The following is a 25,790-nucleotide window of genomic DNA, read 5'->3' as shown; positions in this document are numbered from 1 at the left end:
CAATACATTTTAAGAATTAAAGTAATTTGTACAGTCAAGTGAGCCTATTTTAAGAATCACATTTTCATATTCTATGTTGGTGTATTTTTTGAAGCAACCAACATTTGCTTTAGTACCATTAATTTTCCTAACAGAGATATTTTCCTTATTTTGGCAATTTAATCCAGTTTGTTTACTCCAGTTATTAAGATCCAGTAAATCTTAGCAGACTTATTGCTATACAGTGTTTGTATTGCATCTCACTATATCACCACAGACCAGTGTCATCCCTAAGCCATTTATCATAAAGCAATCAAGAGGAAGCCACAATATGATGAGATCTGCTGCAAGCCACATGGTTTTTAGTTGCTTAACATCACCTTCCACAATTTTTCAGTCTTTTGATTCATGAGAGTCAGTCTTTCACACATGGCACGGTTACACCCCTAAGATGTGAATATATTTTACTCCCAAGTTTGACAAGACATTGCACCTGACACTTTACAGGTTTTATTTTCTCAAAAAGAAGCAGTGCTGCATCTCCCAGCACAGCAAATTGATTTTGAACTTGCATGCAGAGAGTAATATCTCTCAATGGATGCTTTAAAAAACTAGAGCACTTCATTATAGAAATACCCATTTCATTGTTAATACTTCATTTTGTTCAAGTGCTGGCCACACTGGTAAGAGAGTTAATTAATTTATATGCTTGAAATCATATGGATAAGAAGTAAAATTTGTGGCATGAGGCACATTGGCAGAGAGGTTAGCTGTAACACCTGGAAATAAACACTAATGTAATGTACCAAACTACTCCCCACAATCCAGTGGAACACTGTAAAGCCTTATTGTATTCAGTAAATTGCTATTAAAATCTTTCACCCTGCCTAGAAGATGAGCAGGTAATCTCTTCTCAAACACTTTTGAAGATCATCTCCTAAATACACTGAAAGAAGTATGACTTAAGATATTTGGAATAAAATAGATTATGACCCTAATTAGAGGAGGAATACTCATTCATTCATTCTATGAACCAATAATTTGGCAATTCTGAGATAAATACTAGACAACAGAATGGATATAAAGTGAATTTTTTGGCTAAGCAGAAGTGGTCAAAGTAAAGCCATTCCTTTTCTATCCAGTACTTCAATACTATGTTATATCACAAAAGGAGGGAAACAACTATCTTTCCTCTTCCCTTGTATCTCCTGCAAACTGAGCAAAGTTTTCAAAGACTTGGGGGGTGGGATGCAGGTAGAGGCAAAGATGGGGATAAAAGAACAAGTCAGAATTTTTCAATGTAGACAATGCATGCCACTATGAAACTAACTTCCTGAAGATAAACAGCTTGCCATTAAGCCTGTTAGAATTTTCTAGACTCTTAGAGAATTGTTATGACTTTTTTTTCACCCAGAATATACAGGTAGGCATTACAGCTATCTTTAATATGAGGCTTCAGATACTTATCTCCTATACCAAAATGTACTCGTGTTAAGACACACAGCCCTCCATGTCATGTTTTCCATGTTTTCATAGGATATGCATTTCCTAGATGGTGGAGGTGAAGGGAAATATGGGGAGCCTCAAGAAGGTAGAAGTAATCTAGATAGACCAGGACAGAAGGCAATTAGTTATAGCTAAGAGTTATTGATCAATGAAGAGTTCTAAAGCACCTCTTTTATAGTTTAGACTCCAAAAAAGGTCTAGTTTTAGAAACTGTACCCAATAATTAAATATTATTGAGTACTTGTTGATATGCTGATATTTGGGGACTTACCATTGCCATCTGTTGGGATGAGTTTTACAGAAATCATACAAATAGTTAACATTGACTGAATGCTGTGTGCCAGCACTGTTTCTAAGTACTTTATGTTTATTAAGTAATTTCTTAGAATACTTCCTTGAGGTAGTTTCTATTATTATCACCATCTTACAGATGAGAAAATTTAGGTAGAAAGTTGTTAAATAACAGGGCAAGGCTACACAGCTGGGAAATGGGAGACAGTAGAGTGTGAGGAGAAAGTATTGGGTTGGAGGAGTGTCCTCTTGTCATCTTTGTTTCTTTGATGATCAAACTTACCTTGTGAGTTACTTGACCAAAATTTAACAGTTTCACATAAAGAAGACTCAGCCCCGGGCTCATATGATGATAGAATCATGCTTTCTATTACAAAAATTGTAAAGAGCATTTTGTCACAGTTGCAATCCAAGACTGGGAAATTTTGTGTCTATGTATACACACACAAACATATGTGCATGCATATAATTTTTCAAGGACAAGCAAGCCAAAATTTTTACCGTATTAAACTCAAAAATACATGTGGTAGATTTGAGAATCTTACAAAAATATCTAAACTTTATAGGTTATTGAATATGATTGAAATAAAATAATGTATTAAAAGGTTTGTTCAGTGGTGGTTATTGCTAGAATTATCTTATTATCTTCTGTTATCTATTAGTTTAAATTATGCTTGCACAATGCCTGGCACATGGCATACCCTCAGTAAATACTAGATTCCTCTCTTACAGAAGAAGCCATGTTGGTGCTATAAGAATCAGTGATGAAGATTAACATATTTCTTGAAAAACAAAATGCTGTCCGGTTTAGAATACAGCAGTAGAGCAGCTTGTGAAAATGACTTTGTACTGAGGGAATTTTCATTTGCAGTAATTTGAAAACAAATAAAAGAAAAACAATACTTTGTGAGAAAATGTCCCATTTTTAAAGACACAATGAAACTGTTGAAAACTGGGGAGCAGTCAGGAGGCCTCCAGTAATGAGACAGGAGAGAGCATTTCAGCATTGTTTTCATTTTGCAGAATCATCTATCACAGAAAAGTAGTTTAAATTGTCTGTCTTGTTTTCAATTTTTCCAAAATATATTCAGACAAAATAGCTTGAATTGACTATCTTGTTTTTCGATTTTGTTTCAGATTTATTTCTGATTATAGCTTTTTTTTGGATTTAGATGTTTTCTCTTTGGAGGAATGAATAGCATTATGTTTAATCTTCTCTTGCCTATCCAAAATGAATGCAGAAAAGTTCCAGGTGATCAATTATTTTTCTCATGGAGCCCTTCTCATTTTCTTTCAGGTTGTTCTGAGCCTCTGGGTATGAAATCAGGACATATACAAGACTATCAGATCACTGCCTCCAGCATCTTCAGAACGCTCAACATGGACATGTTCACTTGGGAACCAAGGAAAGCTCGGCTGGACAAGCAAGGCAAAGTGAATGCCTGGACCTCTGGCCACAATGACCAGTCACAATGGTTACAGGTAAAGTTTTCCAAAACTGTTTCACTACCCACTGTTCCTCTTTCTTAGAAGATTTCCTGTTGATTAGGTGAGTGTCAGAGTCGTTACCTTCACGCTAATTTAAATGTGCCTTCATCTTCGGTTTAACTAAATTGGTAAAACACAAATTCCTTATGAAACCATGTCTGTGGGCTATTTTTACGCTGGTGTTGGTTTATAGATGCTAGTGTAAGCTTGATGCAGGAGACTGTACCAGATCACACTATGTGTATGTCAATTGATTGATTAGGAGAGCATTTGCATCTTAACTCTCATCCATTCTAATACTTTGTATTAATATTGGCTTTGAAAGCATGACAGCAAGAATCCAAAGGGCATTGAAATCATGCCACTGACCTGCAAACTGTTCACGTAGAATCATGACTCATGACATATTAGCTCCTTACCTGTGGTTGCTAAGCAATGAAGATATTTGATTACATTCTCAAAACAGATCTTGCTTATAGAAGGAAACCATAGATACTGCAGAGTTTATCATTTGCAAATGAAGTAAGGTTACAGTCAGTGCTTTTTAAAACAATCTTCATGAAATTCTCTTATTTGTGGAGCACGTTTAAATATGCACAGGTTTGTTAGTGGCTTCTGTGGCAAAAAGTAAGACAACTCAATTCGATAATGAGATCACTTTATAGTGAAAGATACGAGTTCTGTTCTTGTTGATTTTTATGCTGTATTCATGAGTTTAAAAACTATAGTAGTTCATTGCATTCCCAGAAATCATGAAAACAATTTAAAATAGCAAATTCCACCCCTATCAAACAAGATTTGCCAAATCTGTAACTGTTCTTACCAGGTTACCTGAAATTTGCAATAGTTCCTCTTCTCTTCTCTCCTCTCTGCTCCACTCCTCTCCTTTTTTGAGACAGGGCTCACTCTGTTGCCCAGGCTAGAGAGCAGTAGTGCAATCATAGCTCACTGTTGCCTTAAATTCCTGGGCTCCAGCAGTCCTCCTGCCTCAGCCTACCAAATAGCTAGGACTACAGGTGCACATCACTATACCCCGCTAATTTTTTTTTTCTTTTGTGCAGACAGGTGTCTCACTGTGTTGCTCAAGCCAATCTCGAACTCCTAGCCTCCACCAATCCTCCTGCCTCAGCCTCCCAAAGTCTTGGGATTACAGGCATAAGCCCCCACATCAGGCTTCTTTTTTCAGTTTTTTCTTCAGTTGGCCTTACTTTTTCTTATACTCACAAGTAGAAATACTCACTTTTTTCTTTACTTTCCCTTAACATTTTTTATTGATCTAGAGCTTTATTCAGCTCTCATTAGCTAGCACATGCTATAGGTAATAATGTAAGTCTTTCTCCTATTACCGTTCTATGAACTTTTTGAAGATAAGGAGTATGTTTTCTAATATATCATCCCAGCACCCAACCTTATAAGTAGCAGTGCTTACTAAATTAAATTATTTATTTAACAAATGTTTGTGATGAACCTAGAAAGCATCATATAACATGATAAGTAGTGATGACATATAAGTGAGCAACACACTGTTGCTTAAGACATTAAGATATTACCCCTTGCTTAAAATATTCCTGTTATCTGACTTAGCTTACACCATTTTCTATTTTCCTCCATCCTCGTAGCAGATGTTTCCCAATGTCCTTTCCTGGTCACACTTCTTCTCCCAATTATCTTCCTGCTAACATCTCTTTCACCAGCTCCACACACTAACATTAACTGATTTAGCAAGTATTGGTAATTTCAACTATGAAAAAATGACTCAAATATCTGAAAATCATTTCCCATCTTACCATCCCCACTGCTACTTCTATCACCAGTGCTACCACCCTCTTTCACCTGGGTTTCACAGAAGCTTCTTAACCAGCTTTTCCGTTTCTAGTTTTACTCTTTAAAAATTCATTTCTAAAGTTGTAACTCGTGTGTGTGTGTGTGTTTGTGTGTCTGTGTTTTCCTAAAAGGTAAATATGATTCTCTTACTCTCCTGTTTAAAACCCTTCATTACTCCCTCTGTTTCAGAATAATGTGCAAGTTCCTTAATATAACCTAAGAGTTTTTTGCATGATTTGGCCCCAGTTCGTTTCTTACCCTACTCTTCTAAATTTGCTTGTACTCAAACCAAGTACTATCTCCTTCTTCCCATTCCTTTATAAATGTCCTCTTGCTATAAGAAATGAATGGAAAGAGCCTCTACCCACAGCATTATCTGCCTTCTGTTATATTTAAATCCTTCAGCTTCAGTTCGGATATACCTTTCTCTGGGAATATTTTGCTGCCAAATCCATTCTGCCCACGTCTGACTTAAATCTTTATCATGTATACTACTACATCGTCTGTAATTTTGTCACTATACCATTTTCTTACTGTATTGGAAATTGTGTTTTTATGCTAGGCTGTTTGTTTCAAGAGGCTGAGACCATGCCTGTCCTGACTTTCTTAACTTGTTGTTCAGCATCTAACTAACCTAACACATGGTGGGCATTCCATAAAGATTTGTTGAATGAATAAATGAATGATTCATTCAAAAAATAATTCAAGTTATTGGTTTGAGCCAACATAGCATATAAGTTTGATACCCAATTTAAGAGGCCAACTGGTACATATTCTCAATTTTTCAATATTTAAAAGATACATTTAAAATTTCTTGTTGAAGAGCTGACTTTTTTTTAAATAAGGAAACTAAATTTTTATAATATATAGCCATCATTGAAGTTTTCAGGTTCTTACTTTGAAGAAAATCTCCTTTCCACTTGTTAGACTTGACAATGATCAACTTAAAATTTTTCATTGCTGTATATTCTAAAATTGTAAATATTCCAGTCATGTATCAGATTGGCTGCGTATCGCTAATGTTATTTGTGAGTCATAATGCTGTGTGGAATAAGGCAAACTATTTTACACCCCATAAGTAGCTCAGGAGGTTGGTAGACTCTAGAAACATCCACATAAAGGGATTGCAAATGGCATATTTCTTTGGAAAGATAAAAATTAAACAAATATTTTTACATGAATCAGGGCATAATCTTCAGTGTGAGCCTCCATCTATCACTTTGTTCAAGATGATTTTTCAACTATCTTCTTAAAATCACTTGCATGCTAAAATTGATTCATTGTGTTCATAATAGACTTTGTGTTAATTCAAGGAGTAGTTCTTCTAATATATGTCTAATTTTTGTTGTATCAAAACATATTCAGAATCTCCAAGGCAAAGTAAATTGACATCTTTTCCTTTTATTTATTTATTTTGTGACATCATGCAAGAAAAAGGCCCAGAATTGTGACTATTTTTTAGTGTTTTCCCCTCAAGAGAATATAATCTGTTCAACTGTATATTGTTATGCTTGTTAGTGTTTCTGTTGAAAATAAGATTAACATTTTCATAGATAACAATGTATGGGGTGATTTTCTTTTTCAGTTGTTTATATAGAGGTAACATAGAGGTCAATTTTTATCCTGAATGTATTTATAAAATCAGACGCCTCTGAATTAGGTATATTTTTAACTAAAATGCATCAGTTCTGAGCAGTAGCTCTTCAGAAGAAAAGCCATGTCTGCCACTTAAATTCCCTTCCTTCATTATCAATCTCTTGCTATTTTTTTAAAAAATGTCTTTTATATACCAGCTAAAAATGTGACGCTCTAATGGAGTTTTATTTCTGTTTAATAGGTTTTTCTAAAACCTAATCAGATATCTGGCAATACAATTGTAAATTCAGCCCCCCAAAATACCCTCATGCCTAATTGTCATATAGTTTAAGAAATTCTTATGTGTCCTTTGGGAATTCGTATGTATTCAAATCTCATTTTAACATTCTTTATATTTTTTTATTATACTTTATAAGTTCTAGGATACATGTGCACAATGTGAAGGTTTGTTACATATGTATACATGTGCCATGTTGGTGTGCTGCACCCATTAACTCGTCATTTACCTTAGGTATGTCTCCTAATGGTATACCTCCCCCCTCACCCCACCCCACAACAGGCCCCGGTATATGATGTACCCCTTCCTGTGTCCAAGTGTGCTCATTGTTCAATTCCCACCTATGAGTGAGAACATGCGGTGTTTGGTTTTTTGTCCTTGCGATAGTTTGCTGAGAATGATGTTTCCAGCTTCATCCATGTCCCTACAAAGGACATGAACTCATCATTTTTTATGGCTGCCTAGTATTCCATGGTGTATTCCTAGTATTCCATGTGCCACATTTTCCTAATCCAGTCTACCATTGTTGGACATTTGGGTTGGTTCCAAGTCTTTGCTATTGTGAGGAGTGCTGCAATAAACATACGTGTGCATGTGTCTTTATAGCAGCATGATTTATATTCCTTTGGGTATATATCCAGTAATGGGATGGCTGGGTCAAATGATATTTGTAGTTCTAGATCCCTGAGGAATCGCCACACTGACTTCCACAATGGTTGAACTAGTTTACAGTCCCACCAACAGTGTAAAAGTGTTCCTATGTCTTCACATCCTCTCCAGCACCTGTTGTTTCCTGACTTTTGAATGATTGCCATTCTAACTGGTGTGAGATGGTATCTCATTGTGGTTTTGATTTGCATTTCTCTGATGGCCAGTGATGGTGAGCCATTTTTTCATGTGTTTTTTGTCTGCATAAATGTCTTCTTTTGAGAAGTGTCCATTCATATCCTTTGCCCACTTTTTGATGGGGTTGTTTGTTTTTTTCTTGTAAATTTGTTTGAGTTCTTTGTAGATTCTGGATATTAGCCCTTTGTCAGATGACTAGATTGCAAAAATTTTCTCCCATTCTGTAGGTTGCCTGTTCACTCTGATGGTAGTTTCTTTTGCTGTGCAGAAGCTCTTTAGTTTAATTAGATCCCATTTGTCAATTTTGGCTTTTATTGCCATTGCTTTTGGTGTTTTAGACATGAAGTCCTTGCCCATGCCTATGTCCTGAATGGTATAGCCTAGGTTTTCTTCTCGGGTTTTTATGGTTTTAGGTCTAACATTTAAGTCTTTAATCCATCTTGAATTAATTTTTTATAAGGTGCGAGGAAGGGATCCAGTTTCAGCTTTCTACATATGGCTAGCCAGTTTTCCCAGCACCATTTGTTAAACAGGGAATCCTTTCCCCATTTCTTGTTTTTGCCAGGTTTGTCAAAGATCAGATAGTTGTAGATGTGTGTTATTATTTCTGAGGGCTCTGTTCTGTTCCATTGGTCGGTATCTCTGTTTTGGTACCAGTACCATGCTGTTTTGGTTACTGTAGCCTTGTAGTACAGTTTGAAGTCAGGTAGCGTGATGTCTCCAGCTTTGTTCTTTTGGCTTAGGATTGATTTGCAATGCAGGCTATTTTTTGGTTCCATATGAACTTTAAAGTAGTTTTTTCCAATTCTGTGAAGAAAGTCATTGGTAGCTTGATGGGGATGGCATTGAATCTATAAATTACCTTGGGCAGTATGGCCATTTTCACGATATTGATTCTTCCTATCCATGAGCATGGAATGTTCTTCCATTTGTTTGTGTCCTCTTTTATTTCATTGAGCAGTGGTTTGTAGTTCTCCTTGAAGAGGTCCTTCACATCCCTTGTAAGTTGGATTCCTAGGTATTTTGTTCTCTTTGAAGCAATTGTGAATGGGAGTTCACTCATCATTTGGCTCTCTGTTTGTCTGTTATTGGTGTGTAAGAATGCTTGTGATTTTTGCACATTGATTTTGTATCCTGAGACTTTGCTGAAGTTGCTTATCAGCTTAAGGAGATTTTGGGCTGAGATGATAGGGTTTTCTAGATATACAATCATGTCATCTGCAAACAGGGACAATTTGACTTCCTCTTCTCCTAATTGAATACCCTTTATTTCTTTCTCCTGCCTGATTGCCCTGGTCAGAATTTCCAACACTATGTTGAATAGGAGTGGTGAGAGAGGGCATCCCTGTCTTGTGGCAGTTTTCAAAGGGAATGCTTCCAGTTTTTGCCCATTCAGTATGATATTGGCTGTGAGTTTGTCATAAATAGCTCTTATTATTTTTAGATACATCCCATCAATACCTAATTTATTGAGAGTTTTTAGCATGAAGAGTTGTTGAAATTTGTCAAAGGCCTTTTCTGCATCTATTGAGAAAATCATGTGGTTTTTGTCTTTGGTTCTGTTTATATGCTGGATTACATTTACTGATTTGCATATGTTGAACCAGCCTTGCATCCCAGGGATGAAGCCCACTTGATCATGGTGGATAAGGTTTTTGATGTGCTGCTGGATTTGGTTTGCCAGTATTTTATTGAGGATTTTTGCATCGATGTTCATCAGGGATATTGGTCTAAAATTCTCTTTTTTTGTTGTGTCTCTGCCAGGCTTTGGTATCAGGATGATGCTGGCCTCATAAAATGAGTTAGGGAGGATTCCCTCTTTTTCTATTGATTGGAATAGTTTCAGAAGGAATGGTACCATCTCCTCCTTGTACCTCTGGTAGAATTCAGCTGTGAATCCATCTGGTCCTGGACTTTTTTTGGTTGGTAAGCTATTAATTCTTGCCTCAATTTCAGAGCCTGTTATTGTTCTATTCAGAGATTCAACTTCTTCCTGGTTTAGTCTTGGGAGAGTGTATGTGTTGAGGAATTTATCCATTTCTTCTAGATTTTCTAGTTTATTTGCATAGAGGTGTTTATAGTATTCTCTGATGGTAGTTTGTATTTCTGTGGGATCAGTGGTGATATCCCCTTTATCATTTTTATTGGATCTATTTGATTCTTCTCTCTTTTCTTCTTTATTAGTCTTGCTAGCGGTCTATCAATTTTGTTGATCTTTTCAAAAAACCAGCTCCTGGATTCATTGATTTTTTGAAGGGTTTTTTGTGTCTCTGTCTCCTTCAGTTCTGCTCTGATCTTAGTTATTTCTTGCCTTCTCCTAGCTTTTGAATGTGTTTGCTCTTGCTTTTCTAGTTCTTTTATTTGTGATGTTAGGGTGTCAATTTTAGATCTTTCCTGCTTTCTCTTGTGGGCATTTAGTGCTATAAATTTCCCTCTACCCACTGCTTTGAATGTGTCCCAGAGATCCTGGTAAGTTGTGTCTTTGTTCTCATTGGTTTCAAAGAACATCTTTATTTCTGCCTTCATTTCGTTATGTACCCAGTAGTCATTCAGGAGCAGGTTATTCAGTTCCCATGTAGTTGAGTGGTTTTGAGTGAGTTTATTAATCCTGAGTTCTAGTTTGATTGCACTGTGGTCTGAGAGACAGTTTGTTATAATTTCTGTTCTTTTACATTTGCTGAGGAGTGCTTTACTTCCAACTGTGTGGTCAATTTTGGAGTAGGTGTGGTGTGGTGCTGAGAAGAATGTATATTCTGTTGATTTGGGGTGGAGAGTTCTGTAGATATCTATTAGGTCCACTTGGTGCAGAGCTGAATTCAATTCCTGGATATCCTTCTTAACTGTCTGTCTTGTTGATCTGTCTAATGTTGACAGTGGGGTATTAAAGTCTCCCATTATTATTGTGTGGGAGTCTAAGTCTCTTTGTAGGTCCTAAGGACTTGCTTTATGAATCTGGGTGCTCCTGTATTGGGTGCATATATATTTAGAATAGTTAGCTCTTCTTGTTGAATTGATTCCTTCACCGTTATGTAATGGCCTTCTTTGTCTCTTTTGCTCTTTGTTGGTTTAAAGTCTGTTTTATCAGAGACTAGGATTGCAACCCCTGCCTTTTTTTGTTTTCCATTTGCTTGGTACATCTTCCTCCATCCCTTTATTTTGAGCCTATGTGTGTCTCTGCACGTGAGATGGGTTTCCTGAATACAGCACACTGATGGGTCTTGACTCTTTATCCAATTTGCCAGTCTGTGTCTTTTAATTGGAGCATTTAGCCCATTTATATTTAAGGTTAATATTGTATGTGTGAATTTGATCCTGTCATTATGATGTTAGCTGGCTATTTTGCTCATTAGTTGATGCAGTTTCTTCCTAGCATTGATGGTCTTTACAATTTGGCATGTTTTTGCAGTGGCTGGTACTGGTTGTTCCTTTCCATGTTCATTGCTTCCTTCAGGAGCTCTTGTAAGGCAGGCCTGATGGTGACAAAATCTCTCAGCATTTGCTTGTCTGTAAAGGATTTTATTTCTCCTTCACTTATGAAGCTTAGTTTGGCTGGATATGAAATTCTGGGTTGAAAATTCTTTTCTTTAAGAATGTTAAATATTGGCCCCCACTCTCTTCTGGCTTGTAGAGTTTCTGCCGAGAGATCCGCTGTTAGTCTGATGGGCTTCCCTTTGTGGGTAACCCCACCTTTCTCTCTGGCTGCCCTTAACGTTTTTTCCTTCATTTCATCTTTGGTGAATCTGACAATTATGTGTCTTGTAGTTGCTCTTCTCGAGGAGTATCTTTGTGGCATTCTCTGTATTTCCTGAATTTGAATGTTGGTCTGCTTTGCTAGGTTGGGGAAGTTCTCCTGGATGATATCCTGCAGACTGTTTTCCAACTTGGTTCCATTCTCCCCGTCACTTTCAGGTACACCAATCAGACGTAGATTTGGTCTTTTCACATAGTCCCATATTTCTTGGAGGCTTTGTTCGTTTCTTTTTATTCTTTTTTCTCTAAACTTCTCTTCTCGCTTCATTTCATTCATTTGATCTTCAGTCACTGATACCCTTTCTTCCAGTTGATCAAATCGGCTAGTGAAGCTTGTGCATTTGTCACGTAGTTCTCATGCCATGGTATTCAGCTCCATCAGGTCCTTTAAGGACTTCTTTGCATTGGTTATTCTAGTTAGCCATTTGTTTAATCATTTTTCAAGGTTTTTAGCTTCTTTGCAATGGGTTCGAACTTCCTCCTTTAGTTCGGAGAAGTTTGATCATCTGAAGCCTTCTTCTCTCAACTCGTCAAAGTCGTTCTCTGTCCAGCTTTGTTCCGTTGCTGGTGAGGAGCTGCGTTCCTTTGCAGGAGGAGAGGTGCTCTGATTTTTAGAATTTTCAATTTTTCTATTCTGTTTTTTCCCCATCTTTGTGGTTTTATCTACCTTTGGTCTTTGATGATGGTGACATATGGGGTTTTGGTGTGGATGTCCTTTCTGTTTGTTAGTTTTCCTTTTAACATTCAGGACCCTCAGCTGCAGGTCTGTTGGAGTTTGCTGGAGGTCTGCTCCAGACCCTGTTTGCCTGGGTATCAGCAGCGGAGGCTGCAGAACAGTGGATATTGGTGAACAGCAAATGTTGCTGTCTGATCGTTCCTCTGGAGGTTTTGTCTCAGAGGGGTACCCAGCTGTGTGAGGTGTCAGTCTGCCCCTACTGGGGGGTGCCTCCCAGATAGGCTACTCAGGGGTCAGCAACCCACTTGAGGAAGCAGTCTGTCCGTTCTCAGATCTCAAAGTCCATGCTGGGAGAACCACTACTCTCTTCAAAGCTGTCAGACAGGGACATTTAGGTCTGCAGAGGTTTCTACTGCCTTTTGTTCGGCTATGCCCTGCCCCCAGAGGTGGAGTCTACAGAGGCAGGCAGGCCTCCTTGAGCTGCGGTGGGCTTCACCCAGTTCAAGCTTCCTGGCTGCTTTGTTTACCTTCTCAAGCCTCAGCAATGGGGAACACCCCTCCCCCAGCCTCACTGCTGCCTTGCAGTTTGATCTCAGGCTGCTGGGCTAGCAATGAGCGAGGCTCTGTGGGCGTGGGACCCTCTGAGCCAGGCGCAGGATATAATCTCCTGGTGTGCCGTTTGCTAAGACCACTGGAAAAGCACAATATTAGGGTGGGAGTGACCGGATTTTCCAGGTGCCGTCTGTCACAGCTTTGCTTGGCTATGAAAGGGAATTCCCTGACCCCTTGCACTTCCCAGGTGAGGCGATGCCTCGCCCTGCTTCAGCTCACGCTCAGTGCACTGCACCCACTGTCCTGTACCCACTGTCTGACACTCCCCAGTGAGATGAACCTGGTACCTCAGTTGGAAATGCAGAAATCACTCGTCTTCTGTGTCGCTCACACTGGGAGCTGTAGACTGGAGCTGTTCCTATTCTGCCATGTTGGAACTGCCTCAAATCTCATTTTAACATTCTATTGTTTTTATTACTCTAATGTTTCATCTACTCACTTCTATAAGATCAAAATGTCTGGAACTTCTCAAGCAAATATTCTTGTGTGATTTTTTTTTTTTTTTTTTTTTTTTTGAGATGGAGTTTCGCTCTGTCGCCCAGGCTGGAGTGCAGTGGCGCCATCTCGACTCACTGCAAGCTCCGCCTCCCGGGTTCACACCATTCTCCTGCCTCAGCCTCCCATGTAGCTGGGACTACAGGCGTGCGCCACCATGCCCGGCTAATTTTTGTATTTTTAGTAGAGACGGGGTTTCACCGTGTTAGCCAGGATGGTCTCGATCTCCTGACCTCATGATCCACCCGTCTCGGCCTCCCAAAGTGCTGGGATTACAGGCGTGAGCCACCGCGCCCGGCCGTGTGATTTTTTTTAAGAGGTGATCCTACCTAATTGGTTAGCTTTCTTGAGTTGCTGCTAATCATAAAATTGTTATGCTATTTCTATCGGGACATGGCAAAAATGTGTGAGGGCCTCAGGCAGCCCTAAACAGAGGCATTTCTCAGACCTCTGTGTATGATGGTTTGTAAAACTTTAAAATTCAACTAATACTTTGAGCAATAAAGCTTACCAATGTGTTATCTGAAAGCCTCCCAAAGGTCAAATTTTAGTTTTTAACTTTCAAAATTCTTACCAATGTTGAAATTGGAACATTCTGAGCCAATTATTCCATACTCCTAATTGGACATTCCTAACTCATGGTTAGGATAGATATTAATCTTTGTTATAAAAATAAAGTAACATTTAACTCACAGAGATGTTTTTAGGTTAAGACTATTAGCTTCCATAGGTAGTTTCCAAACAAAGAAGTCAGAAATTGTGATGACTCTTAAAGTGGATTAAATAAAACAAATAACAGAACAGTGGAAGCATGCAGTAGGTACTCAGTATTGGATAGATCCCTTCTTTTCCTTTCTGGTGGATTGTGTACCTCAGGAGAACAGAATTTGACACCACCAATTTTAATCAAAAGTGAAGATTTGCATATATATTCCTCCAAAATGGAATTTCCAATAAAATAATGAAATGTAAAATAATACATTGTTAAATCATTGCAAACTGTAGGTTGTGTTGATAAATTATATATATTGGCATTGGCACATAAAAACTTTGAAATGTCTATATCTAGGTAGCATCAGATTTTTCAGCTTCTTTACCCAGTAGTAATAATTTAAAGTGAGTAATTTATCATTTGCCAATCTTCTCTACTGAAACTGTATTTTTACTAAAGCAGTTATGTGTTTTTGTGTCTGTTATCACTGGCTTTCAACAGAAAGATTAATTTCTTTTTTACTTCTGCTCAGATTAGACAAATTGAAATTAAACATTGTTAAGATGCTTAAAGACATTCTATGAGGAGCAGGGACATTGCTAATGATCATGCTATTAATTGTGAAGAAATATGCTGATTCATTTTGGTTTTGTTCACGGAACTAAACAAACTGCACTCAAAGAATTAACTTGGATTAACTAAAAACTTATTTTAAAGTAAAATACTACAAATTTTGTTATAATGAATACATTGTGTATGTATTCATTGCCGTATTGGTGGTGACTATAGAAAATGGATAATTTACTATTCATAATTAAATCTACTAAACGTTTTTCAGATTTCATAAAGGGTAACATAATATAAAGGACTAACAGGAAGGAAAATGTCACAATCCCACCTAAGAAATGATCTTTTGGTCTATTTCATAAGACATTTGCTAATTTAAGGTAGTCTGCATAGTATTTCAACCAAATTAGTAGAATTAATAGAGTTGTTAGACTGAACATTTTAGTGTTGACCTTTATCAAAATTGCGTCTGACCCTACAGATTTTCATTTCAATACTAATTTTGTGAAAATGTATAAGAAATCAATTGAATTTAAGCTTTCAAATTAAATAAGCCTTATTTAATTTAGTCCATGTCAGATTTTTAAAAGGGAGTATTCTAGACATAAAATTTATAACTTCATTAAAGCATTAACTTATTTTGCCTTCTGAACAATTTATTTACAGGAGAACTAAAGGAAAGGTTTTCAAAATTAAGTGACCACCAGGCCACTGGAAACATTTGTCAATATGAAGGATTATTCTGATTTCCAAATCACAGTTCCAATATTTCTCATTTATGAAGGTTCACCTATAAAGAAGATCTAAAAGAGGTCAAGTAATGAAACTTGTATATGATTGTGAGACAGCTTCCGTTCTTCTATAGTATTGACATATGTTGGAGTGTGCTAAGTGAATCGAAGGATGCTCACACTTTCCTAGGACTATAAGTCATCTTTATGTATTTTTTCATTTTTTTAAACCACATACCATGAATAAGAAATCTTTTTGATTTTTATAATTTTATGATGTCAAAGGGAATCCCCACTATCCAATTAGAAAAAAGAACTTTTTATAAACAAAACAAAATTGAAAGGACATTTGTACAGAAAATACTTAAGTGCAAACAAAAGTGCAGCCAATATCAATGTAGTATAAGGAGTGCATAATTTGAGGTACAAAATATAGATGTGAGGGCTGACAAATTATATCAATACTCTGAGACTTCAATATTCTTTCTTTTTTTATGTAAAATGGAGATACTACAAAAAAAGATCAGCCCCAGCCTATCTTCTCCTTTTAAAATTCCTCACACAAGTAAAATTCTGGTGTCTAAATCATGACTGGACGAATCCAAAGAAATCAGAAAATTATCAAGACACCAGCTAATTTCTTCACAAGGTAGCACAAGTATGAAGCTAATAAAAAGTCATGTAACAATTATTGATACAGATATAGCCATCTAACCTTCAAATAGACCTATAAAAAGTTAACTTTTATACAATGAATAACACATCTACTTAATACTCAAAATATTGCCCCTACCTTTCCATCCCTTCTAATTTTGAGTCATTTATTTGGTTTAGTATCTTACATCTCTCTAAAAACAGCTTAGAAAACAAAAACTTCCATAAGACAAGGAAGTAAGATATAGTAAGTGATTATTAAATACTTACTTAATATTTAATAAGTAAGTGCTTGCATATAGAAAATCATGAAAAAGGCCCAAAGTAATAGTTTCTGGTGCCAAAGAGAAGGAAATAGATTAACCCCAGATACAGGGTACAATCTCAGAAAGACAAGCTCTAGTGGTACATTAAAAAATGCATGGAACCTTTATGGTTTGGAGGTTATTTTAAATGACTTTATACTTTTTGAATTAAAATAAGTATATTTGGGGCACCTGTTATAACAAAACACAATGTCAGGTGCAAGGAACTGAAAGACATATTCAGTATTATGTCTGCCTGCATGTATGATTACTGATGCCATAATTGTCATTAATTCAAAATTCCAAAAGCAAGAAACAGAAGTGTAGGATGTTGAATGCTTCTGCTTAGAAGTGGTATTGAAACCATTGAAAAACCACGACAGAAATTAAAAGAATTTCATGTGCACAGCAGACCTGCTCCTGTTTTATGATAATGCAAATTAGATGACTTCTGATTCCTGTGTGTGCAAATGAATTTTCGTTTGTGGCGTATTAGTTATCTTTGTAGCAACAAAGCATAGCTGTAAGAATGGTAACCATTCTCTTCTAAAAATATGAACTGAAAATATGCCAATGAGTAAAATTTAGAACTTGGGAATACTGTTTCAAATATTATGAGCATTTGTAAAGGCTTTTAAATAAAATTAGAATCAATTGTAATCAGTAATCTCATTTTGTCTTTAAAGCAGCCCTCTCCGTGAGCTAAGTTATGTTTGCTTTATAATGAAGAGTCAGAGAAGCTTGTTAAAGATTGCAGAGCCAGTCAGTGGTCTAAAGGGGATTCAGCACTTGTCAGGAAGCCTATGAGATGATTTTTACCACAGTATTTTCTAGACTATTATAATGATTGAAGTGACTCATTTTTTTCAGGGGATATCTGTTGGATTAGGAAGCCTCTCCAATGCCCAGTCCTGACCAGCATAGCTCTGGTCACTTATCTTGTCTTGAATAAGAGCTCCTGGTGGGTCCAGCCAGGCTCTGCAGATTCTGTGGATTCAGCTTGCCCTCTAAATTTGTGGTGCCACATTGTAACAATCGTATATCCCTTCCAGTGCTCCTGAGCATTGGATACACACACATACACATGTATGAAATATTTGGAAAATGCAATTCCTACATTTTTGGTTTAAAATAAAACAAATAGGAAATAGGAATGTAAACTCTAATATTTTCTGCCCACAACCCAACGATATGTTTGTTATTCATACATTATGTTTTAGAGAACCCTGCTCTGTCCAGCGAGCTTGCTCATAGTTAAGCTCACCTGGCTCAATTGCTTTGGTTTATCCTAGAGACTTTTGTAATATTTCCTCAAAGCCAGTAATGCTATAATAATAGGTAGTTCACTTTTTGTTTACATTTATGATTGTAAATGTCTCTCATTTATGAAGTATTGATTTGCTGGCTGATATCAAAATAAAATTTATTTATAGAAAATTTTGCATTCATTTCTTTTTAATTAATACAATTAGCATTTGTGCAAGGAAAACATGCCTCAGTGAAGTGACTTTCAAATGTCTAATGTCTTTGTTCGTTTTATGCCGCTATTATAATTCTTTAGCATAGTGTGTCTTCTGGACCTAGACAAAGCCTTTTCTGTATTGATCTTTGGTAAAATTCTTTTCTGAGATTATTTAAGATGTGACTAAGGACACATTTATCTGCTTGCAGCTTCTAGGTAATAACTTTCTGGAATTAGTTTATATTTTAAAAAATAGATGTACATTTTTTTTTCACTAGAAGAGATTGTGACCTTAGTATTAAAGCCAACCAAAGTTTTGACTTCTGAACTAATTGCTTAGGTTCCTTGCCCAGGCCCAGTCAAAGAATCTTTATGCTGCTCTTGCCATTTGACCTGCCCTCTACTTCTGACAGTTTCTGATATGTGTCTTACTGCTCTCCTCCCCTGACTTCTTCTCCACCTGAGCTTTGCTGGTTGCTTGTTGATTGGTTTATCTACTGATATGGTTTGGCTGTGTCCTCACCCAAATCTCATCTTGAATTGTAGCTCCCATAATTCCTATGCATTGTGGGAGGGACCTAGAGGGAGATAATTAAATCATGGGGGCAGTTTCCCTCATACCTCTCTCATGGTAATGAATAAGTCTCATGAGATCTGATGGTTTTATAAGGGTTTTCCTCTTTCTCTTGGCCCTCATTCTCTCATTCTCCCCATGGCCATCTAAGACATGTCTTTTGCCTCCACTGTGATTGTGAGGTCTCCTTAGCCATGTGGAACTGTGAGTCCATTAAACCTTTTTTTCTTTGTAAATTACCCAGTCTTGAGTATGTCTTTATCAGCAGTGTGAAAATGGACTAATGTATCTACTCTTTGGCTTTACACTCCAGCTCTGGCCTGCCCCCTGAAGGGTAATTGGTTGTTTCTCGGCAGCCCACCCTCATCTCTGTTGAAGTTTCAGGAACTGCCCTGGCTCTTATGGTGCCAACTGCTGCCACTTCGACTTCTGGCTTCTTAGTACACATGGGTCTAGCTTGCTGCCATAGCTGACATCCACCTTAGGCTTTCTACCGCCCGCAGAGCTCTTGGTTCCTAGTCCTTTTTGTGAATCCAAAACTACTAGCCCAACACAAAATTTCCATTATCCAGATGACCCTTTCTTCAGATAGTTCCACTACGAGATTTGGGTTCTTCTGACGACAGACCCAGTTTTCAAAATGACCTTCTTTTCCTGCTTTGATTTTGAACTGATCTAATTAGGAAAATTTCGTCCTAAAAATGCAGTCCTTTAAAACAAATTACATTCTCTTTCTCTCCGAATAACAAATTGTATCAGCATTTTCCAAGATGTATCCTGAAAATCACTACTCCCATAAGGTAAGCAGTAATTCCAAAAAAAAAATGGTTCTGGGCTGAAATACATTTTGTAAATTCTATATCCTCTTTTATGTTCTTAATTTCTCACATGCATATTAACATAGTAAAGACTCTTAAGAGTCCTGTAGGAAAGGGAGTTGTTTAACTCTTTTTAGTTGATGATTTTCTAACTTATTTTTCATGGAGTGCTTTTTAACATGGATGCAGCTGGAAACCATCATTCTCAGCAAACTAACACAGGAACAGGAAACCAAACACCGCATATTCTCACTCATAAGTGGGATTTAAACAATGAGAACACATGGACACAGGGAGGGGGACATCACACACAGGGGCCTGTCGAGGGGTGGGGTCAAGGAGAGGGATAGCATTAGGACAAATACCTAACACATGTGGGGCTTAAAACCTAGATGACGGGTTGATAGGTGCAGCGAACTACCCTGGCACATGTATCCCTATGTTACAAACCTGCACATTCTGCACATGTATCCCAGAACTTAAAGTAAAATAAAAAATAAAAATAAAAATAACTACCCTAATATCCTATAGGAACCGCTTTGGAATATCATGTAATAATTAAATTGTATTTCTATAGCACTTTGTTGTTTTCAAAGGGCTTTTCTATTTTTTTTACTGTATCTTTCTAATAATATGTGTACATATGTATACACATGTATAATGTGTACATATTATTTGTATAAATTACCCTGTCTCAAAACATGAAAAATACAATTTGCTGACATTACATGACTTAATCCTGCAAATGGCAGAACTTGACCCAAAAATCCAGTTTCTCCCTTTTCTGTTGAGTTCCATTTTTTCATGGCTGCCTGTGGCTGACATCACATAGAATGTGGTTTAACCTTAACAGCCTTTTTTTGCATCAACATGATTTTTTCAGTACAGCACAATATATACAACATATGTGTATCCGCAAACTTGGTTTTCCAGTTCACTGCGTGCCTCTGTTCCTACTTCATATAACAAACAATTTCATCAATTTTTTGTTCATATCTGTGTAAACCAAGCATTTGAAATTATCTAAATGAATCCAAAGCATTGTTATCAATTTCATCTTCAGAATGGTGCACATAAGCTAAAGTTAACCCAGATATACCTGAGGAATAGTCGACCCCTGTCATGAATAAAATGAGTCATATGCATGGACCACTCTAAGCAAGGAAAGTAACAAGTGAACACTTTTACTTTCTGAGAAACAGTTCCTCAAAGAAGTTTACAACAGTACACAAATACTTATTTGTCACTCAAGTTGTAAAAATTTTGTCCCGTTTCTTAAACTGCATTTAACTTTCTTTAAAACTGTTTTCTCTTGCTTAAAATGACAGAGGATCATCGCTACTACTTGTCTTTATGTTAACTTTAGTTTGTCCTTCTGCAGATATTCACATGCTTTGGTTTTGCCTCCTCTGTGTTCATTTCTATGTTCATTTCTCTATGTTAATAAGTAAATTTCTGTCTGCTGGTTCCAATGAAAGGTTCTGACATACATTAAACTTTAATGTAGAATACATATTAGGATATTCACCGTTTTAAAATGGGACACCAAACATAAGCAGTAGACATTTTGTAGGCTTTCCCACGTGTTGAGTAATAGGAACTCTGCTATGAAAGCATCATTATTTTTTGCGTTACAGATTTTCCTCATTTAACAAGCCATACTATAGGCTCTTTGAATAACAAGATATCTGTATCCAATATATTTTCTCCTCTCATGCTTTGTGTCCTCTAAATAAAAAAAATTTAAAGGAAGCAGGGGTGTGCCTGTTTACTTTTACTCAGTAGAATAGGTTCAATTAAAAAAATAGTGTCAGGCCAGGAGCAGTGGCTCATGCCTGTAATCCGAACACTTTGAGAGGCCGAGGCAGGCAGATCACCTGAAGTCAGGAGTTCAAGACCAGCCTGGCCAATGTGGTGAAACCCCATGTCTACTAAAAATACAAAAATTAACCAGGCATGGTGGCGGGCACCTGTAATCTCAACTACTCGGGGGGCTGAGGCAGGAGAATCACTTGAACCCAGAAGGCAGAGGTTGCAGTGAGCCGAGATCAAGCCACTGCACTGAAGCCTGGGCGACAAATAAGACTCCGTCTCAAAAAAAAAAAAATTTCCATTTGCACTATTTTTTAATGCTATTGAAAATGATAAGAAGGTTTTTGTACAAGGTTACCCATCATAAGAAAAAAAAGCAAAGTGATATTTATAGCCATTATTAATTACATTATTAATTTCTATTTTTATGATACCTTGTCCTATAGTTTTAAAATAAAATATGGAACAAAATTTGATAGCAGTTACATTCAGGGTTGTATTATCATTATGGCATTGGGTGTATATGATTACTATTGCTATTCTATATGCAACATAATTAGCAAAACCAAATGTGGTTAAGAGGGTTTAAGGTAAATGAGTGGAACAACTATTATTTGAGTTAAACTCTGAGTCACTTTTCACCCCATTCTTAACATCCTACCACCTATTAAAGGTTCAATCTTTGTTTATTTCATGAAAAAGCACTGTAGGGTTTTAATCCCCAAAGCTGTAGGATTTGATGGCCCTTTGTTAAATACCACAGGACCCATCTGTTCTGTTAGGCATATGCCTTACGATGTGGGAAAATCTGTAATACACGGTAATGAATCCAAAGTCCTTTAGACTGCAACACTAAATTTTATATATATCTATATATATATATAGGTAGAGATATACACAAATATAAGTATATAAGTATATACATATAAGTATATATGTAAGTATATGTATATGTGTGTGTGCATATATATGTGTGTATATACATATATACATATATAGTATATACATATATATACTATATATGTATATATATATGCACACACACACATTTTCTACAAGCTGTCTTAAAGCTCTGTAATGAGAAATAGGGAAAATTCTAAAAATAAAGCAGCTTTAAAGATCTCAGTGGGAAAAAGCACACCACCAGCTGCCTGTATCTTCTTACATGTTGGTGTCAAAGTCATTTTCTCAAAGCATGGTTTGGAGACCTCCTGCATCAGAATCAGCTGGTGGCATGGGCTGGCTGAAAACGGAGATTCTTAAATTTTATCCCCAGAGATTCTGATGTTATTAGGTCTGTGTTGGGCATAGAAATGTGCATTTTTGGACAAATATATTTGGGTTCTTGTGCAAGGTGATGTTCAAGAAAAAAGGAATTGGATATTTATTATTTGAAACATGTTCGTTTAAAGGCAACCTCTTGGTTTGTTTTGTGTTTTTTTTTTTTATTTTGAGACATTGTTTTGCTCTGTCTCCCAGGCTGGAGTGTAGTGGCACAATCCTGCCTCACTGCAAACCCCACTTCCCGGACTCAAGCGATCCTCCTACCTCAGACTCCCAGGTAGCTGGGGCCACAGGCACACACCACCAAGGTTGGCTAATTTTTGTATTTTTGTAGAGATAGGGTTTTGCCATGTTGCCCAGGCTGGTCTCGAACTCTTGAGCTCAAGCGATCCATCGGCCTTGGCCTCCCAAAGTGTTGGGATTACAGGCGTGAGCCGCTGTGCCTGGCCTGAAGTCCCATTCTAATGGGACTTACTTAGATATACTGACTTTTGAAGATTACTTAAGCATTAATCTAATTGCAATTTAAGATTAAAGTATCAGGACACTCCAAATTAAAGAAATTCTGTGGTACCAGTATCCAAAGGATAAAAATTCCAGCTTATATTGATCTTTTATTAAATGAATAAATCCAACAACAAATCTTTAATTTCTCTTATCTCTGTAGGAAATAAAGTGTATTAAACATCCATATATAGAATCAAATCTAAAATTTATGAGAAAGAAGATCTGTTTTCGTATCTGTAATTTAAGTGTTCTCTGGCTAGAATATATATATATATAATTATATATCTATATATACCCTTTATATATATAATTAAATTATGAAATTTAAATCAATTTTTTTATTTTGCCCTTTGATATATGTAACACAATAACAGATATTCTGAACAATGACCATGAGGTATTACCAATTTCTGAAGTACCATTTGAAGAGAGAAAATATGATCAGTGAAGATGGAATATTAAGTTTACTGTTGCTGTCTGTTAAAGAGGCCTTGGGTAAAGTAAGTGCATGATGCACGTTAATATGGTGTTGAATACTATTTTCAAGAGTTATCAATCTATGTGCAATTTGTAGGATTTTGAATTCACTGATACATTTCATAGGAGACAGTATCTGAAGTGGTTAGAGTGTTAAACTCTATAACAGGACCTTCTGGGTTCAAACCCCTTCTCTGCCACTAGTTGCATGACAATGGGCAAATCCATCTGTTACTATCTCAATATTCTTATTTGCTAAATAGGAATAATAGTACCTATTTTATAGGGTTGTGTAAATAAATTAGCATTTATAAAGTGCTTAAAGGATAACTGATATGAAAATGTTAGCTATTATTTTATTGATTAGAATGACTAAGTTCCCTGTAAAACTGTATATAGCATTTGCTTTAAGACTACCAGATAAAAATACAGTTAAACTTAGTTAAATTTAAATTTATTATAAATGGTGAATATTTTATTTTATTTTATTTTATTATTATTATACTTTAAGTTTTAGGGTACATGTGCACAATGTGCAGGTTTGTGCTTACTAAATATTACATGGGATGTACTTATACTTTTAAAAAATGTAGTTTATCTGAAATTCAAAGTTGATAGACATTTCTTGTTTTATTTTGCCAAATTCAGCAATCCTATTTTCACTTCATCTCATTTGCTTTCATTTCCCTGGTACATTTAATTGATCTAAGTTATGATGCTGATATAATGATGATTTTCGGTCAATAGATAATGATTTTAGCAGACTGCTCATCTGTAATTGTTTTGCATTGTGCCTCTATTCCTGGTGAATAGATACTGAAAAGTCTAATAGTTTATTAACTTTCAAGCAAATATGCTTAAATTGACTTCCACATCAAAAGTTTTAATCTCTATTTCGTTCTGGTGGTAAAGATGCTATTTTGTATTCTGGCTCTCCTGTGTTTAGTGGATTGCTGGGAATCAGATGAATCCTTTGGATCCACAGATAAATTCAGGTGATCAACTCAGTAGCCTTTATTATATAGGAACTCAGCATAATATTTTCTATTTGGGGAATGGGTTAAAGTTACCAGGAATGCCCCTGAATGACTCTAAATGACATTTGGGATCTTTTGTCTACAGTTTGTAGAAATTGTCACTGGATGGCATTTAAAATCCTCAAAGCTGTTTTTAGCTCAATGGATTCATATAATTAAAAAAAAAAAACACAGTCTTTAGGATTTGAACTCAAATCTTAATCCCCATAGCTACTACCTATGTGAAATTGGGAATAGCATTTTACCCCTGGGCAACAATTTCTTCATCTGAGAAATATAGTAAATGCCCATTCCAGAGGGCTGTTGAAAGGCTGAATGGTATCAGGCCTATAAAATATGCTGCATGTGCCTGGAAGGATGTTAAGTGCCATGTGAGTTATTTTCCCTGCCTCTTTCTTAGCATTAACATAGAAACTAGAGATTAGTAGTACTGGAGCCAAGTTTTATCCAAAATCATGTGGCTCTGTTATTTTAAATCAAAAGACAAATAAGAAAACAGGACACTTTGTGTCCCTAGCTTTGAATCTGATTATTTTGTATATTCCAAAAAACACCTAGACCCCTGGATTTTTCCACAGCAGCTCTACTTAACTATCAGTGAAAAACGCTGGGACATCCCACCACCAACAACAGCACCCCTTATGAGATTATCCATTGTTTTAAAAGCCCAGCTTTCCTTCTTTTGAAAGGTACTCCCTTGGGGGAGCTATCCTGGTCTAACAAGGTATTTGTAATGGATGCAAATACATAGTCAGGCATCTGCTGGCCACAGCTGAGCTCTTCAGTGAAGAGTCCAGAAGTTCCATGTAAAAAGGATTTAAGAAGTACATCTTGTCGGAATTGTCTTGGAGAAGGTAGAGGCAGAGGTAGGACATATTCCTTTAAGCTGTGTTTGTAGAGCAAGCACACCATAATTTATGACAAAATGATCATTTAGAGAGGCTTTGTGGGAAATAGAAGTAGGGACCAAGAACTCCCAGCTCCCTATTACTTGGAGTCTACATTTGGAACACAGGTGGGAAATTGGGAGATAGGCTGGGTGCAGACTGGCCCTGACCTACCGCGTAAGGAGAGCCACTCAGGAGCATGAAATGGAGAAGAGAATTCCATAGCCTGGCATGCTGGCACACACCTGTGATCCCAGCTGTGTAGGAGGCTGAAGCACGAGAATTGCTTGAACCCGGGAGGCAGAGTTTGCAGTGAGCTGAGATCATGCCACTGCACTCCAGCCTGAGTGACCTGAGTGACAGAGTGAGACCCTGTCTCAAAAAAAAAAAAAAAAAAAAAAACAAGAAAGAAAGAAAAGAAAAGAGAATCCCAGCACCTTTTGCTGTTTCTAAGCTCACTGCTCACATTAATGGACAACTTTTAATCCATCTGTCAGATCATACAAATCAACAAGAGGCAGAGAATGACAAATAATTTTTTTTAATTCATGGTGAAAGACTTTGTTTTAGAAAAGTCTATCCACTATTTGGTGATTGTTTTGTTTGTTCAGCCATGGAAGTTT

At 36.7% G+C, this 25,790-nt stretch overlaps 1 protein-coding gene across 2 annotated transcripts in view; it reads left to right on the top strand.

Annotated features, from left to right (window-relative positions):
* Window positions 1-25,790, top strand: part of EDIL3 (EGF like repeats and discoidin domains 3) — a 444,327-nt gene that overhangs the window by 321,323 nt on the left and 97,214 nt on the right. For both annotated transcript variants that reach the window (NM_005711.5, NM_001278642.1), the window contains one exon: window positions 3,074-3,258. In NM_005711.5, the coding sequence (NP_005702.3) occupies window positions 3,074-3,258 (185 nt within the window). The remainder of the gene's footprint in view (window positions 1-3,073; window positions 3,259-25,790) is intronic.

Source organism: Homo sapiens, chromosome 5 (assembly GCF_000001405.40).
Source record: "Homo sapiens chromosome 5, GRCh38.p14 Primary Assembly".
Classification (NCBI taxonomy): domain Eukaryota; kingdom Metazoa; phylum Chordata; class Mammalia; order Primates; family Hominidae; genus Homo; species Homo sapiens.
Note: the sequence above shows the minus strand (reverse complement) of the source record. Positions and strands in the feature narration are given on the sequence as shown.